Source organism: Homo sapiens, chromosome 2 (genome assembly GCF_000001405.40).
Source record: "Homo sapiens chromosome 2, GRCh38.p14 Primary Assembly".
NCBI lineage: Eukaryota > Metazoa > Chordata > Mammalia > Primates > Hominidae > Homo > Homo sapiens.
This window is the reverse complement of record NC_000002.12, coordinates 240980049-240996831: the sequence shown is the minus strand read 5'-3', so window position 1 is coordinate 240996831 and position 16783 is coordinate 240980049. Positions and strand designations below refer to the sequence as shown.

General features: G+C 60.1%; 1 protein-coding gene and 1 long non-coding RNA gene across 3 annotated transcripts in view, besides 5 other annotated features; one reads left to right on the top strand and one right to left on the bottom strand.

Annotated features, from left to right (window-relative positions):
• Positions 1 to 3520: 3520 nt before the first annotated feature.
• Positions 3521 to 16783, bottom strand: part of CROCC2 (ciliary rootlet coiled-coil, rootletin family member 2) — an 86976-nt gene continuing 73713 nt past the window's right edge. Inside the window, exons 28-32 of one of the 2 annotated variants that reach the window (NM_001351305.2) lie at positions 13803 to 13952; positions 7962 to 8093; positions 6999 to 7178; positions 5554 to 5636; positions 3521 to 3766 (exon numbers count right to left, since the gene is read on the bottom strand). In NM_001351305.2, the coding sequence (NP_001338234.1) occupies positions 3751 to 3766; positions 5554 to 5636; positions 6999 to 7178; positions 7962 to 8093; positions 13803 to 13952 (561 nt within the window). In that variant the 3' untranslated portion in view covers positions 3521 to 3750. Of the gene's footprint in view, positions 5637 to 6998; positions 7179 to 7961; positions 8094 to 13802; positions 13953 to 16783 lie in introns of both variants that reach the window. The other variant, XM_024453115.2, reaches the window with a different exon arrangement.
• TANAR (TWIST1 associated long noncoding RNA regulated by androgen receptor) lies at positions 10695 to 15317 on the top strand. The gene is made up of 2 exons (NR_186276.1): positions 10695 to 10933; positions 13147 to 15317. It is a non-coding gene; the product is annotated as a TWIST1 associated long noncoding RNA regulated by androgen receptor (long non-coding RNA).
• Positions 12463 to 12969: an enhancer, noted in NCBI's record as "H3K4me1 hESC enhancer chr2:241923280-241923786 (GRCh37/hg19 assembly coordinates)". NCBI's record gives its function as "activates a minimal SCP1, AML or CMV promoter by ChIP-STARR-seq in primed H9 embryonic stem cells {active_cell/tissue: H9 hESC(primed)}" and the evidence as "EXISTENCE:reporter gene assay evidence [ECO:0000049][PMID:30033119]".
• Positions 12970 to 13477: an enhancer, noted in NCBI's record as "H3K4me1 hESC enhancer chr2:241922772-241923279 (GRCh37/hg19 assembly coordinates)". NCBI's record gives its function as "activates a minimal SCP1, AML or CMV promoter by ChIP-STARR-seq in primed H9 embryonic stem cells {active_cell/tissue: H9 hESC(primed)}" and the evidence as "EXISTENCE:reporter gene assay evidence [ECO:0000049][PMID:30033119]".
• Positions 13001 to 13120: an enhancer, noted in NCBI's record as "active region_17411". NCBI's record gives its function as "activates an Ori minimal core promoter by ATAC-STARR-seq in GM12878 lymphoblastoid cells {active_cell/tissue: GM12878}" and the evidence as "EXISTENCE:reporter gene assay evidence [ECO:0000049][PMID:35858748]".
• Positions 13131 to 13210: an enhancer, noted in NCBI's record as "active region_17410". NCBI's record gives its function as "activates an Ori minimal core promoter by ATAC-STARR-seq in GM12878 lymphoblastoid cells {active_cell/tissue: GM12878}" and the evidence as "EXISTENCE:reporter gene assay evidence [ECO:0000049][PMID:35858748]".
• Positions 13291 to 13450: a silencer, noted in NCBI's record as "silent region_12524". NCBI's record gives its function as "represses an Ori minimal core promoter by ATAC-STARR-seq in GM12878 lymphoblastoid cells {active_cell/tissue: GM12878}" and the evidence as "EXISTENCE:reporter gene assay evidence [ECO:0000049][PMID:35858748]".

Genomic DNA, 16783 nt, shown 5'->3' with positions numbered 1-16783 from the left:
TCTAGAAAAACCTGGCAGCCCTCTACCCTCTTTTCAGTGCATTTGGGGCCTGGCTGGAAGGCCCCTCCGGTGAGTTTGCGAAGGTGGGAGGCGGCAGTGCCAACCCCAGGGCAGGATTTCTCCGCTGAAGAGGTGTTGTCATGGGGACGTGAGGCTTTGACCCCCACTAGGGCTGGCCCACCTCCTGCCCTGTCCCTACTACCCATCCACTTCCCACCACATGCTCCTGCTCTGCTCTCAGAGCCCAGCCTGGGGTGCTGCCTCCCAGCCAGCTGCCCAGGCCAGGCGCCCTTCTCCCCACTGCTGACCTTCTCTTGAGCACACAAGACAGGGACCTGGGTAACAACCCATTTCTGGGCTGGGTTTGGGTCAACTTGGGGGCAGGGCCGCCCAGGGCACCTTGGGGCACACAGTGGCACTCAGTGGCTGCACCGAGTGGAGGCCTGTTTCTTCAGGCGGGTGGGCTGGTGGGCCTCACGGGGGTCGCTGAGCAGTGCTGGAAACGCTCAGGCCCGTCCTCGTCCCAGAGAGTCAGAGCTCATGGGCCTGGGGCGTGGCTGGCAGTGGGCCAGACCCTGCTCATGGCCCAGAGAGGCCACACTTCCTCGGGCCTGTACCCTGCTGACCAGCCTCGGCCTGCACCCTGTGCAGATTTTCAGCCGGGCCCGGGGAGCTGGGGGTTAACAAAAGGCCCCGCTGCTGCTGGGCATTACATTTCATTAAAAAAAAAAAAAACAAAAAAAAAACAACACAACTCTGCAGGCAAAAAAGAGAAAAAAAAATGTTTTTCTCAGGTGCTAAAAATATTATCAGGAAATACTTTTCAGCAATGTGCTGTTTTAGGCTCCCCTCTGGACTCAAGGGCGCCTTTGTCTCTGCCACAGAAAATCCACATTTATCAAAACCAAAATTGTTTTATCAAGCAGGCTCATGTTCTGTGGCCAGGAAACCCGAGCCTCCCCAACCGGCCTGTGACATTTTAATTTAGGGCCTGAGCGTGTGTGCAATTTAGATGGGGTGCCCCGGGAGCTGCCCTCAGGATGCCCCAGGACTCGGGGCTCCACGCAGGCCAAGGTGGGGGTGCCCTCCCCAACCTGCACCTGGTTGGCTGGGCCTGTTTGGTCTTCACAGGGTGGAAGATCCTGGGGGTTCAGGCCTGAGCTGCCAGGGGCAGGGGCTGGCTGGCTGTAGCCCACCCTAACTTTCTCTCCTTCTCTCCCAGAAGTGGCAGGTGGAGTGCAGGTCCCCTGCCCCAGAAGCGCTGATCCCAAGTAAACCTCCACATGCTCCGGAATGAGGCCAGGAGGTCACAGGGACCAAGGGCCGCTCCACCTGCTCACCTGGTCACTGTCCTGTGTGGCTGGTTGGGGTCTTGGTGCAGTTGGCCCTGAGGGAGTGTGGGGGCCATGCAGCCTGCCCTGTACCTCCTCTTCTCATGCACACGGAGCCGCACACACATTGACTCCCATGACGGGACTTCTGTGGTTGCTCTTAGGGAAACGATGGGACTGGGGTTCAACACTTCCTTCCCAGGATGTTCACTGCTGCGTGGGCTCAGGCATCGGCTCTCCCTGTCCTGGGGATGACGAGACCCTGCCTCCCGTTGAGAGCCTTGTCCATCTCCTGAGTGCCCAAGACAGGACAGAGCCCCATTCTCTGTGGGCTCCAGGATGGCAGGGACAGCCAGCAGTGGAGGGACACTCAGGCCCAGGGTCCTCCGATGCCCCGGAGCTTCCGCAGCAAAAAAACCATGCTCTGAGACGTTTTTAGTGATTCGGGAAAACTCTAACGGTATTGTGTCAAGCAAAAGTTTTAAAAAATAGTACTCTGAGTAGCATCCACGCTATGGCCTCAACCGTCCTAAGCACACGTGTGCTAGAAAAAGGGAGAGTTGGGTGTCACCTCGGGGCTCTGCAGGTCACAGATTATGGTGGTGGTTACATTCTCCTTTCTATGTTTCCCTGCTAACATTTTTTGCAATTAATTTGAAAAGTATGAATGTTTTGGAAGCCCAGATAAACAATGCCCTTGGTTCCAGCTGGCCGGCTTCCTGCCCCGGCTTCAGCCAACCAAAGCTTGTGCTTCCCTCAACCTGGGGTGCTTCAGAGGGCTGGCCTGTCCTTGGGTGCCGCCGTCTGCGTTCAACATGGCCCCTCCTCCAGTGCCCCCTCCCCAGGGGGCCTTCCTCTCCCATTTGTCCCCTCCCTGTGTTGGTCTGCAACCCCTGGATGCCTGCAAAGGGTGCTGCCCCCGGACCCAGGCACCTGAGGGCCTGTCAGAGCGTCGGAGCTTCCTGGCCAGAGGCTGGATGGGACCCTCCAACAGCCCCTGCGTGCCCCACATTCCTCGGCGAGCCTCAAGGGTGGCAGGAATCCGAAGGGATTTTGTGTTCTGTCTCAGACAGGAGCTGGGCCCCTGCCTGCATCCCTGCCTTGTGTGGGGGAGGGTCTCCTGGCTTTCGGAAACCTCAGGCACATTTATCACCTCTGCCCACCGGAGAGGGCAGGCAGAGGAAGAGCCAGACCATGGAGGCCTCCAAGGTCGCAAGCGTATGTGTGGCTCCAGCTCCATGAGGTGGTTCTGGGGGTCCATCCCCTGCAGGGACAGGCCTGAGAGCCACCTCTGAGTTTTCACTGACACCCAGACTCTCTGTGGGTTCTAGAGGTAGACCCTGAGAGTACCCTCCCCTTGGGAACATCACGGATCTGCGCCGCCTCCACCAGGCTGGCCTCAGGGGCTGCTCCCTCGAGTACCCTGGCCCTGCTGGACCGTGGCTGGGGATGGCAGCAAGGAGATGGACATGGCACTCCCAGAGCCGTGGCTGCTGCAGGTGACAGTGCCTCCACCGTTAGCTGAGTGCTTCTGGCCTCAGCCTGGGCGATACTTCACGTAGGACACACCATGGCCCTCTGGGGCTGGGGTCACCCCACTTTATAGACAGGGAAACCAAAACCTAAAGAATCTGTCCAGGGTTGGGTTGCACAGCTGGTGGGGGCACAGCTGGGACCCCCGTGCAGGCAGGCCTGGGCTGGAGGCCACGCATGGTCTTTTCCCCTTGACTCTGGGGAGTGCGTGGGAAGGGGTCCAGCCCTTTCTTCCCTTGGCCTTGCCTCCATGAAGGGGCAGGGGGACCCCAGCATCTGGGGCATATCCTCTGGTTAACACGGCTCTGCCTGCCCCCTCACTGGGCAGATGGGTCTGGGGCGAGGCCGGTGGAGGGGGAGCCCTGGCCTGGGCTGTCGGGTCCCTGGGCCTGACCCCTCCTGTCGACCTGGTGCAGACTTGTCCCAAAGCAAGGCTTCCTCCTCATCTGCAAACCAGGTGCTCAAAGGGCTGCTGCGAGAACAGAGGGAGAGCTCTCCAAACCCCAGCACGGTTCTCAGTCATCATGAGACCGGAACACAGAGGCCCACACACGACCGCTGGACATGTTTAAGAAAATGCCAATGTATTTCCACTAGAAAAATCCTCTTTTCCTAAATACATGTCTCTATGTTGAATAAGTTAAAATAGCATCTCCTACGCTGATTCAACTATTTATTAAAATTCAAAATTCGGAGGCCCCCACATGCATTTCAAATGTTCCCCATGAGCAGCCAGGGCAAGGAGGGTCCTGAAACTGCCGAGAGCGAGCTGTCTCATCACGGGTGCCTTTCACTGTGACGCTGAGAAATCAGCTGGGCCCCTCCCACCTGCGGTGCGTTCCCTTCCTCTGCAGCCACGCTGGGCGCCTCCCCTGTGCTGGGAGCTTCAGTCCCTTTGGGCGCTGCAGGGATGCAAAGAGGGAGGCGTGGACACCGCATTCCCGGGGACACATGGGGGCTCCTGCTGCCGGGGGCTGGAGGGACCGATGCTGAGTCTCCTGCCCACAACTGGGAACCTTGAACTTCTGTTCCTCCCTCCCGCCCTGGCCATCCCTCAGGCCCTTCTGCTGGGCTGCAGAGCGGGAGGCCCCCTCTATGAGGAGACTGCGAATGGGGAAGGAAGGCAGGGAAGGGACATGCCTACTAAGTGCCAGGCCCTGAGCACCACACGCTGCCTCTCAGTGACCCCCTCCACCCACCATCTGGCAGAGCACTCTCCAGCAGTGGGGGCAGGCCTGCCTGCTGTCCTCCACCCCTGACTGGCCATGGCAGGGGGTGCCTATCGGGGCACCTGTGCCACCACTGACTCCTCCTTTGCCCAGAGTAACATCCACTCATGGGTCACCAAGCTCTTCCCCTCAGAGCCCAGGCTGAGCCTCAGAATCCTTCTCAACACAGCCACCAACAATCAGGCAGAGGTAACAGACAGGAAGGAGCCTATATGCCCACCTCTCTTGAGTTATTGATTTTGCATGATTTACAGCATATGGTAACTCCATTACTAAATCCACCAGAAAACCAGGTGTGCCAGGACAGACTATTTTAAGTCCCAGAGTGATCTTGAAATAGACACTGTTGCACATTCAGCCAAGGCTCACAGTAACTGTGATGGGGTGGGGGCCGGGAGCCTCTGGCCTTGCACCCTTAGGCCAGAGTCCTTGCGACTGGGACGGGAGGCCCCTGTGGCACATGCAGGGATTCACTGGGCTGGCTGGTGCCCCACAGATATCACAAATGACCACCTATAAAGCATGCGGCCCTTTGGAGAGGAGAACAAGTCACTCTGAGCAACGGTGATGGAGACGAGGGGTGCAGATGGACACAGGTGGCCCACGCCACAGGCCCAAGATGGCCGCCTGGGTCTCCATAGCAACCCAGCCGGAGTCCCACAGGACCGTTCCCAGCATTTCCAGGCCGGGAACATGGGAGGCTCTGTAACAGCTTTAAGTGTTACACTCCCCTTCTTCTGGCGGCCAGTGAGTCACGGGGACTTGAATCTGAGTCACTTCCAGCCACCTGCCACCGTGACGGCCGCAGTTCCTGGATGCGGAGGCTCACAGCCGCTGGGCGTGGGGATGTGGTGGCTGGCCTTGCAGGACATTATGTTTTTGGCTCCGGTTGGTGGAAATGTTTCCCACGTGTTTTCCCGTGTTTACAGAGCTGAGGGCACGGAATGAAGCCGGGGAAGCCAGCCTGACAGGGCCTGGCCCCGGGGGTCTGGTCAGAGCAGCTCCTCCAAAGCAGAAACGGAGTGCCAGGCGGGGGCAGGCTGGGAGGGTGCCAGGCGGGGGCAGGCTGGGAGGATGCCCAAGCCCCTGCTCTCTGCCGGAGGGGAAGGGGCTGTCAGAGATGAGCGACCCGCAGCATGGTCCAGCACCAGCTGCAGGCTGAGTCTCCAGGGGTGGGAGGAGCTCTGCGGTCAGCGGGCTCAGAGTGTGCCACTGCCTGAGGACCCTGAAGAGTGAGTGGTGGCCCGGGCGGTGGCTGCCTGCACCCTGTGCTTTCTGCTGTCATCGTGCCCACCCCATTTGAGCTTTGTCCCTCTTGTGCAGAGCACAAGGCATTGGTTTTCCCAACAGTGGTTCCCCCAGCAGCCTAGGGCCTCCAGCACCTTCCCCAGGGCCGCCTGCCCCTGGCCAGTCAGGGCTGAAGGCAGCTAGGCTGCTGGGTGGTATGCAGCAGGGCTCACTGTCCTGTCTGGAAGGCCTGGCCGAGGTGGGCCTGTTGCCGCCACTGCACTTCCTGGTCCAGTTGCTCCTTCAGGCTGGCCACCTGGGGACAGGACAGTGGCTCAGGTCAGGTGGGCAGGCTGCACGGCCAGGGCCCCAGGGCATAGAGGCATGGAGGGCTCTGTGACAGGAAGGGCTGGAGGCCATGGTCCACAGCTCCCAAGGAGAGGTGGCATGCATGGGACAGAAACATCAGGCAGACGTCAGACTGACTCCTTTGCTGCCAGAGAGGGATGCGCAGTTCCACCTCTCACCACGGATCCCCCACCTGTGGAGGCCTCAGGAGTATGGCCACCGCGCACCCTTGGTGGATGGGCCCGCTTCTGTTCAGGCACTCAGAATGAGGCTGGGTGCAGTGGCTCACGCCTGTAATCCCAGCACTTTGGGTGGCCGAGGTGGGCCTTGGGCATCAGGATCACCTGAGGTCAGGAGTTTGAGACCAGGCTGGCCAACATGGTGAAACCCCGTCTCTACTAACAATACAAAAAATTAGCCAGGCATGGTGGTGGGTGCCTGCAATCCCCGCTACTCTGGAGGCTGAGGCAGGAGAATCGCTTGAACCCAGCAGGTGGAGGTTGCAGTGAGCCGAGATCGCGCCACTGCACACCAACCCAGGTGACAGAGTGAGAATCCATTTCAAACAAAACAAAACAAAACAAAACAAAACACTCAGAATGATAAGGAAATAAATAAATGTCCTTTTGCTAATAAATTTAGCAAAAGTGCCTTGGTGGTTGGGGACCCTAACTTGGGGATGACACTGGGCAGTCAGGTCACCTCCTGGGCCTCAGTTTCCTCATCTGTAAAATGAACAGACAGCTCTAAGGTCCTGATAGCTCTGAGCTCTAAGGCTCAGTGGTTCAGCCCAGCAGGTCTGTCACGTGTACATATGCATGTGTGGGTGTGCAGTGCACACACACGCCCAAGGCTTGGCTATGCTTCCTTATCCACCTCACTGTGCCCACCTCATCCCCACAGATGCCACGTGTGCCATTGTTTTCCCTTTGTGACTCTGAAGGACAGGTGCAGAGGCCACCTCTGCTACAACTGTGCATGCTGGGTGCTGTCTAAGCACCTCACACATAATGACAGCTCAGTCGCCCAGTGACCCCTGACAGGAGCTGTCCTCACTACCCCACTTTAGAGACAGGGCAATGGAGGCTCAGAGAGGGTGGTGACCTGCCCCAGAATCCACACTTCACCTCCCAGTGGGATAAACCTCGTGCCGTCGAGAGCAAAGAAGTGCAGGCAGTGCCCGGAGCAGGTCTGGAGCCCACTGGGTGGCAGTGGAGAGCCCCTGTTGCTAGAGGACTTCAAGAAGTCACCCCTACTGGGTGACTGCGGGGATGCCAGTCCTCTGTCCCTGCCTCTTCCCTCACCCAGGGGGCTGGGGTCCCGACCTTACCTGCTCTTCCAGCACCTTTACCTGCTGCTGGTGGGTCCATTCTTGGGACTCCAGGGCCTGCGTGGCCTGCGGCCGGGCCCCATGGAGACGCTCTGCCTCTGTGGCCAGGTCCCGCTGGTGCTGAGCTGTCAGGTCCTGGAGCCGCTGGGTGTGGGCCTGCTCCATCTCTGTCATCTGGGCCTGGAGTGAGAACTTGGGCATCTCACTGCTGTCTCTCACTGAGGGCCGCACAGAATCCCAGGGCAGGAGTGCCACAGGGTGTTTCACCTGTCCTTGTGGGCCCCACTGCCCTCTGCCGGTGTTGACCTGGCCAGGACTGCCCAGCAGACCTGGGGTTAGGTGCACATGTTCAGCCCGTGGGCCTTGGGTTTGGCTTTGGCTGGGCTGGAGACTAAGCCACAGCCTCCAGGGTGGGCCTAAAATCTGTTTTCATGGCACCCCAGGTTCCTTTTGGCTGGGCTGGGTGTCCGGAGGGCATCGAAGTTTGATTCTTGCCCATCCTGCCCCCATCCCCTGCTGGTTTCTGAGGATGGGGGTATGTCCAATGTGGACAGGATGAATGAAGCCTCTGAGGCCCCTTCTGTGGGTGTCAGGCCCCTAGGCCTCAGGGGATTTCCTCGCCCTAACACAAGCAGGTAGCAGCCTCTGGCCATGCCCCACAGGCCTCTCTGACCTCCCTCACCTGGCCCTTGTGCTGCTCTACAGAGCCCGGGCCTGGCTCCCATGGGGACTTCAATGTCTCAAGAAGGGCAGGAGCCTTGGGTCCTGGTTCCAGCTCTGCCTGGGGCCTTGGTCTGAGTCTGTATCCATCACATGCAGAAGCTGGTCCAGCCACCCTCCCCATGTGTGCACGTGTGAGATGGAGGTACACCAGCCACCCCTCTGGAACTGACACCCTCCTGGATCCCACCCCAGGTCTGCCCCCAGGCCTGGGGTATGCAGAGCTCCACTGGCCCAGTTGACCTGCAGCTGCTGATTTTGCCTCAGGGCTCCGTCCACCTCCTGGTGCAGGCTGTTCAGAGACTGGTCCAGCTGCTCCTTCTCAGCCCCCAGCCTCGCCACATCCTCCTCCCTCTTCAGTGTCTCTTGCTCCATCTGCAGAGATCCCAGGAGGCAGAACCTGTGGCCTCCTGGCAGGGAGTGAGGTCAGGCCAGCCCTCCTCTGGGAGCACAGGGTTGCCTCTGGGAAGGACTCTGAATTCCCCTAAGAGCTGGCAGCGTCAGGAAGGGCACTGCCCTGGGCCAGGACCCCTGGCCTCACCCAGGTCTATCCAATATCTGCAGCCAGAGTGACAGCTTAAGGAGGAGCATAGGGCCAAGTCCCCATCCAGCTACAGAGCAGCAGATGGCCCCATCAACATCCTCAATGGGGGACTCCCTACATCTTTTAAGGTGACATCCCAGGAGCTACCCCGCAAACCCCTTCTCAGTGTTCCTCCAGGTCTCATGAGCCATGATCCCCTGCACTCTCTGGCACCTGCCTTCTGCTGTTGGCACTCAGGATCTGCTGAGCTCGTACAGGCACAGGCCCTGAGAGCTGGGTACACTTGCTGTCTCAATCCCAACAAGCCTGTGGCATTGGCATCACTATCCCCACCGTCTGTCCTCCTTGTAGGCTGTAGGCTGCCCCAATGTGCTCCCTCCTTAGTCACCCACTCCCTACCCCATGGGTACAGGTCAGGAGGGATAAGCTCCAGGTTAAAAATCAGGGAAGGTTACCCAGGAAACAGACATTTTCTATGGGAAAGTTGGCAGGGACCTTTTGTTCCCTTGCGAATGGGCCCTCTGGAGGAAAGGATTGAATCTAAGAGTTCTCTCTTACAGAGAGCAGCACTGGGAGAGGAACACCGTCCACCAGCCCCAGACAGCCTGCTTCCAGCACCCCCAGATGGCCTGGGGCATGCCTCATGGGGAGTTGGTGTGGAAGGGATCCCATGATGTCACAGGCTCATTGGGCCAGGCAGGCGCTGAGGCAGGCCTGGAACCCAGGCCCTGCTCTCCCAACCAGGCTGCCTCCAGGCTCTGCCGTGCCCAGCCCCGAGGGTCATGCCTGCTGGGGCTGTGTCCACAGGGGTGACAGCCTTGGGCTGGAGTGCCAGGTCAGTCCTCTGTTGGCCCCAATGCCCTCTGTCGGGTGCTGGCCCTGGCCCAGGATTGGGCAGCAGACCTGGGGCTCAGTGCACACACTTGGCACACCACAAACCTGCCCTCTTAGCTTCAGGGCTGGAGCAGGCCTGGTTTCGGGCCCTAAGACAGAGGGGATAATTTGCATGGGTAAAGTTTGTTACAGGGTCAGTGGTTGGAACTTTACAAAAAATAAGGGTTCCTTTCTTCTTCAGGACTGAGAAAAACAGAGAGTCCCCTGCACTGAAAAAGGAAGTCCTGTTTCTTTAAAAATCCAGTTACACTCCTGGAAGTGCATGTTATAAAGAGAAGAGAAAAGTGAAATCCAAAATAAATAAACGGCCACATCCGGGTTTCCCCTCCTGAGACACCAATAAAGGGTTTATGGGTTTGTGGGCCCCTCACAGCTGACCTCCTGGAACTCATTAGCTGTTCCTTCCCTCCCCCTCCTCAGGCTCCAGGGACTCACGGTGGGCACTGTGCCCACAGCTGGCTCTGCGTCCCCGGGCAGTGCTGTCGCAACCAGGGCTGATGCAAGCCCCCTGCTCCTCCACCCCCAGCAGCGTCCACGGGAGGCCCCAACACCCTGGCTCCATGGCGCTGGGCCCCCTTCAGTAATAGCAGCAGGGGCTGGTGACTGGACCCCATTGGCTGGCCCTACTCTGGAGGGCAGGTGGTCCTTTGTGGACAAGCTGGCTGGTGGCTTTCGTGACTGTCCTGACCTGCTGGCCCCTGTTCCCTGGGCAGGCTGGGCTGCGGGGCCTTCTGCAGGTGGCAGTGAGTCCTTGGGAAGGGCCACCCTGCTCTGGGGTTCACCCCTGAGGCCTCAGCACCTGCCTTCCCCACTTCACAGATGGGGGCCCCCTGCCTACTCCCAGAAGGGGGCTGTGAGGGCATCAGAACCCTGGGCCCACAGCTGGTGCAGCCCACTCTGCAGGGCCAGCCTGGGTGGCTGTGTGGGCACCTTCCCTGTTCCTGCAGGGCCTCAGCAGCACACAGCAGAGGGACAAGGGGCTGTCCCCCAGGCTCCACGGATGGAAGTCCAAAGACACCTGCCCTTCCCACCCCTCCCCCTGCGCCATCCAGCCTGGGATGGTGAACAAACTTCCCAAGGAGAACAAGCTCGAGTCCCCCAGGACGCTGGAGGTGGGAGCTTGTGGATGGGTCGTGGAGCCGGCAACACCGGCTCGGCTTTCCAGGCCTGTCCCTACAGCTGGGTGACCCACAGGTTACCTTGACCTCTGGCTCTCCTTGATCTTGGCGGCCACTCTGAGGCTGCATGAGCAAGGGTGGCAGGAGAGTAGCTGGGAGGGGGTGGGTGTGGGGCTCTGGGGTCAAGGGGCCATGAGGAGGCCTGGGTAGTGGGCAACAGGGCCCATGGATGCCGAGCTGGAGGCAGCCCCTCCAAAAGCATCCGGTCCAGAGGGAGGTGGGCACAGCTTCCGCGGGGACTCTGGCCTCAGGCCACCAGGACTACCCCACCCTGCACCTTGGACCCACAGGGTGGGTGGGAGCTGTGCCCATGTGCCCATGTGATGCACCACCCTCTCCACTCAGCCCCGTTTGTGAGCCAGTCGCGGTGCAGGACACTGATGGTGCCCTGGAGTCATTTAAACAACGCATGCTGTAGAAAGGGCAGTGTCCAGCCCTGAAGCCCTGGAGAGCCACCATGTCCCCATCAGGGAGGAGCCCAACTGTGCAGACAGCTTGAGAGGCCGGCATCAAGGAGAGGAGGATGAACAGAAAGAGGGATCGGTGTGAGGCCACCCCGTGGGCTGGGGCCATGTGCCCACTCTGCCCTCACCTGCCAGGTGGGGGCCCTGCATGCACCCAGACCCTGCTGTGGGGGGCAGTGAGACCCCCAGTGTGAGTGCCTGGGTGTGTGTGGAGTGAGTGCCTGGGTGTGTGTGGAGTGGGTGCCTGGGTGTGTGCTGAGTGCCTGGGTGTGTGTGGAGTGAGTGCCTGGGTGTGTGTGTGGAGTGAGTGCCTGGGTGTGTGTGTGTGGAGTGAGTGCCTGGGTGTGTGTGGAGTGAGTGCCTGGGTGTGTGTGCTGGGTGTGTGTGGAGTGAGTGCCTGGGTGTGTGTGGAGTGAGTGTCTGGGTGTGTGTGGAGTGAGTGCCTGGGTGTGTGTGCTGGGTGTGTGCAGTGAGTGCCTGGGTGTGTGTGTGTGGAGTGAGTGCCTGGGTGTGTGTGTAGAGTGAGTGCCTGGGTGTGTGTGTGGAGTGAGTGCCTGGGTGTGTGTGTGTGGTGGAGTGAGTGCCTGGGTGTGTGTGTGGAGTGAGTGCCTGGGTGTGTGTGTGTGGAGTGCCTGGGTGTGTGTGTGGAGTGAGTGCCTGGGTTTGTGTGTGGAGTGAGTGCCTGGGTGTGTGTGTGTGGTGGAGTGAGTGCCTGGGTGTGTGTGTGGAGTGAGTGCCTGGGTGTGTGTGTGTGGAGTGCCTGGGTGTGTGTGTGGAGTGAGTGCCTGGGTGTGTGTGTGGAGTGAGTGCCTGGGTGTGTGTGTGTGGTGGAGTGAGTGCCTGGGTGTGTGTGTGGAGTGAGAGCCTGGGTGTGTGTGTGGAGTGAGTGCCTGGGTGTGTGTGGAGTGAGTGCCTGGGTGTGTGTGTGGAGTGAGTGCCTGGGTGTGTGTGTGTGGAGTGAGTGCCTGGGTGTGTGTGTGTGGAGTGAGTGCCTGGGTGTGTGTGTGGAGTGAGTGCCTGGGTGTGTGTGTGTGGAGTGAGTGCCTGGGTGTGTGTGTGGAGTGAGTGCCTGGGTGTGTGTGTGTGGAGTGAGTGCCTGGGTGTGTGTGTGGAGTGAGTGCCTGGGTGTGTGTGTGTGGAGTGAGTGCCTGGGTGTGTGTGGAGTGAGTGCCTGGGTGTGTGTGTGTGGAGTGCCTGGGTGTGTGTGTGGATTGAGTGCCTGGGTGTGTGTGTGGAGTGAGTGCCTGGGTGTGTGTGGAGTGAGTGCCTGGGTGTGTGTGTGTGGAGTGCCTGGGTGTGTGTGTGGATTGAGTGCCTGGGTGTGTGTGTGGAGTGAGTGCCTGGGTGTGTGTGTGTGGTGGAGTGAGTGCCTGGGTGTGTGTGTGTGGAGTGAGTGCCTGGGTGTGTGTGTGGAGTGAGTGCCTGGGTGTGTGTGGAGTGAGTGCCTGGGTGTGTGTGGAGTGAGTGCCTGGGTGTGTGTGGAGTGAGTGCCTGGGTGTGTGTGGAATGCTCACAGAGGACAAGAGAGCTGCCTCTCAGGTGATGGGGAGGGGGTGTTGTACATAGCAGGCTCCTCCTCGGTGGGCCCAGAGTGACGGCTGGGGTGCAGGCTCCCAGAAGCTCTGCCTGCTTCCTGGAATGCCATTTCCTCTTTATTGGGCTGTTTCCCTATCAGTCGACCTGGCGGCTGTGCGCCCCTCATCTCCCCGCGAATGGTTCTGCTCCGTCTGGTTTCATGCGTGGAAGCCAGGTCCACCTGCGTCCAGGGTCCGAGCTCAGTGGCCAGGACCACTGGATCACCCACCCGCCAGCAGGGTGCCTCCACCTGGCCTCACCTCTGCGGCCCACCCCTGGACACAGTGGTCTACGTTTGTCTGACCTTTGGGCTTGGAAACCCTGTCTTGCACCGGGGAGGCCGGGGGATGACAGGACTGGGTGATGACCGTCACTTCACCCCTTGACCACTGAGCTCTTCCTGGTCTCTCACCCTGTCTGCCCAGGCCCTACCGGGAGCTCAGGGGCCACTATCCTTGTGAGCGTTGAGAGGGGAGGTTGTGGGGCACCTGCACAGGCTGGCCCACCTGTTGCTCCAGCCGCAGGGCACACCCCTGGGGAGGGGCTATCTCCACCATGAGCAGGGGCCTCTGGGGCTCTGGGGTGTGTGATGTGTCAGGCCACTCGGTTTCCAGCAAAGCTGGGCTCAGACACTGGAGACAAAGCCGGGGATTTGCCCCCACCCATGGTGCCTCCCCAGGGAGAGCCAAGGCAGGGCGCACACGACACCACTGGCAGGGCTGTGGCCACCTGCGGGCGTCCTGACCCTGAGCTTAGTGCCACCCCGCCGGCAGGTGAGGACACAGAAGCATGCGTGGGCCAGCGCCTCTCCCAGCCGCGCCCCTGCGGACCCCAGCCAGGAGCTCCTCCTTCCTCTCTAAGGACCACCGCTGCCGCCTACCTGTGCGAGCTGAGCGCGCAGCGCCGCGAGCTCCCCCTGCAGACGCGCCCGCTCGGTGCGCAGCGCCGCCGTCTGCTCCTGCAGGACGCGCCTCTCCGCCTGCGCCTCGGCCGCCTCCTGCCCGCCGCTGAGCCTCTGCGGCCTGCAGAGCACCTGGGCCGAAGACGCTGGGCGTGGGCCAGGGATTGGGAGGGCCCGAGTTTCTGAGAGCGGGGTCGTTCCATCTAAGGCTGGCTCTGGCCTCAACTTATTTTCTCCTAAACGGCGTGTCCACAGCTGACTCCTCTGTTGTAGGGGTGCTTACTGTACGGCAAGAAATCCAGCCCCCTGACTCCCTGTGGGCCCCTCCAGGCTCAGTTTCCCCATCTGTCAGCGGGGGACTGGATGGTGCCTGGGTCTCTGCAGGCCTGCTCACCTGCCTCCAGCATCTCTCTAGGCCTCCCTTCATGTTGAGGGACTGATTCTGCAAAGGACCACAGGGCCTCTTCCCTGTAGGCCTGTTCACCGCCTCCTGGTGACAGCGTACCCTGCCCTCCTGGTCACCCTCACCTGTCGCAGGGGCTCCAGCGATACCTCAGCCTTCTGGCACCTGTGCTCCAAGTTGGTGAGCTGTTCTTCCAGCAGCTTCCCCTGCTTGGCCAGACCTTGGCTGTGCCTCCTGCTCTCTTCAAGAGCCTGGCGCAGCGTTTCCAGTTGCTCCTGGGGGGAAGGAGACACAGGGTCCACCTGGAGACACTGGGGGTGGGAGGCCCTGCAGGGAAACCCTGGCCTCAGGGCATCTGCCTAGACCGTCTGGCAGGACCGTATCGCTGGGATGAAAACAGCAAGAACGTGGTTAAGGACAACCTGAAGTGCGTTGATCAGGTGATTGTGTTTGCAATGTAACCTCAAAGGTGTGGACCCCCAGGAAGCCTGAGACGAAAGTCCTGGGGGTCTGGTCTAGCGTGGGCAAAGACTTGGGCTTGGCAGGTTCTCTGCTGCAGCCAGTGGTCTCAGAGGGCACATCAGTGGCATCCCTGCCCTGCCTCCAGCCTTGGTGGCTCCTACTGCCCTTGGGATAAAGCCTGAGGTGACCCTCCCCAAGGCTCCTGGAGCCTGTTCGGCTCAGGCCCTGCTTGCCCCTTCTGCCATCACACTGCATGTTCTCCTGCTTCAGCTCCCACCTGGGGACATGGCTAGTCCCAAACTAAGCTCAGGAGCTCCAGAGTCCGTGAAGCTGGGATGGCCCATGATCCCCGCTGTGTCCCTCACCCCTGCGCCCTCTTCTCAGCCCCTCTGCCTTCAGCTTGTCCAAACCGCCATCATCCACTTGGGACCAGTGACAGCCCTTCAGTTTCCTCACTGTCCCCAGGTGCTACCCCATGATGGCTGAGGGTGCATTTCACTTGACTATCATCGGCCATGCCACTGCCTTGCTCTGGGCCTGTGGTGCTCCCAGCTGCCCCCAGGACACTGCCCGGGGAACTCGCCATCCCTTCGATCACGTGCACCTGCTGCCCTCTGTGCACAGCCTCCCCGCTGGCGCCCCCACCCTACGCTGCTGCCTTCTCCTCCTGCTTGCAGGAATCCTGCCTCCCTGTCATCCCAGGAGGGAGGATGGCACCCGACGTGTCCCCTGAGCCCCAGAGCTGGCAGCTGTTGGGCCTTGAGAGGACCCCAGACGTGTGAAGGAGATTGCAAGGCGTCCGTCATTGGAAGCTTGTTGACTGCAAGTTGGCCTGGTCAGGTCTTGATGAGCCCCGAGCCCTTGCACCTTCCTGAGGGTTTTGTGGGAGAAATGGCCAGCTCCTTCTGGGGTGGCCGGATTCTGAAAACACTTTTTTTTTTGGTCCGACACTTTGTTACTTTAAAAAAGGAAAAGAAGGAAGACAATGCTTGTACCTAAGACTGTGATGCTTCACCCTTCGTGCAATTTTGAAAATTATAATTTTCTATATAATTTTCCAGTAGAAAAGCAGAAGTTTTCTGCAAATATGGCTTAAATATTTCATGGCAGTTTTAAGAGGTCCCAAACCTCTTGTAATGACTCAGCTTTTATGGAATTTGAATGAACCGTAATAATTGAGTGGTACTCCCTTAATGCACAGCCCCACTGGCCCCAGTGAGTTGCTCTCATCTCTTGTGTCCCTTTGGCTCTAAATCCTGATGCTGTGTGAGAGGCAGGCTGGCAAAACAAACCTTGAAAACGTGGATTCAGTCTGAGGGCTTAAGTAGCTACAGGAAAGAACCCCAGCCCTTCTCCCCCAGAGCTGAGTGCTCAGGGATGAGCCTGGGCTCCGGAGGCTCCTACCCCAGAGCCTGAGCAGGGATGAGCCTGGGCTCCAGAGGCTCCTACCCCAGAGACTGAGCAGGGATGAGCCTGGGCTCCTGAGGCTCCTACCCCAGAGACTGAGCAGGGATGAGCCTGGGCTCCAGAGGCTCCTACCCCAGAGACTGAGCAGGGATGAGCCTGGGATCCTGAGGCTCCTACCCCAGAGACTGAGCAGGGATGAGCCTGGGATCCTGAGGCTCCTGACCCAGAGACTGAGCAGGGATGAGCCTGGGCTCCTGAGGCTCCTACCCCAGAGACTGAGCAGGGATGAGTCTGGGATCCTGAGGCTCCTACCCCAGAGCCTGAGCAGGGATGAGCCTGGGCTCCTGAGGCTCCTACCCCAGAGCTTGAGCAGGGATGAGCCTGGGCTCCTGAGGCTCCTACCCCAGAGACTGAGCAGGGATGAGCCTGGGATCCTGAGGCTCCTACCCCAGAGCTTGAGCAGGGATGAGCCTGGGCTCCTGAGGCTCCTACCCCAGAGACTGAGCAGGGATGAGCCTGGGATCCTGAGGCTCCTACCCCAGAGCTTGAGCAGGGATGAGCCTGGGATCCTGAGGCTCCTACCACAGAGACGGAGCAGGGATGAGCCTGGGATCCTGAGGCTCCTACCCCAGAGCTTGAGCAGGGATGAGCCTGGGCTCCTGAGGCTCCTACCCCAGAGACTGAGCAGGGATGAGCCTGGGATCCTGAGGCTCCTACCCCAGAGCTTGAGCAGGGATGAGCCTGGGATCCTGAGGCTCCTACCCCAGAGCCTGAGCAGGGATGAGCCTGGGATCCTGAGGCTCCTACCCCAGAGACTGAGCAGGGATGAGCCTGGGCTCCTGAGGCTCCTACCCCAGAGACTGAGCAGGGATGAGCCTGGGCTCCTGAGGCTCCTACCCCAGAGACTGAGCAGGGATGAGCCTGGGATCCTGAGGCTCCTACCCCAGAGCCTGAGCAGGGATGAGCCTGGGCTCCAGAGGCTCCTACCCCAGAGACTGAGCAGGGATGAGCCTGGGCTCCTGAGGCTCCTACCCCAGAGACTGAGCAGGGATGAGCCTGGGCTCCTGAGGCTCCTACCCCAGAGCTTGAGCAGGGATGAGTCTGGGCTCCTGAGGCTCCTACCCCAGAGACTGAGCAGGGATGAGCCTGGGCTCCTGAGGCTCCTACCCCAGAGACTGAGCAGGGATGAGCCTGGGATCCTGAGGCTCCTACCCCAGAGACTGAGCAGGGATGAGCC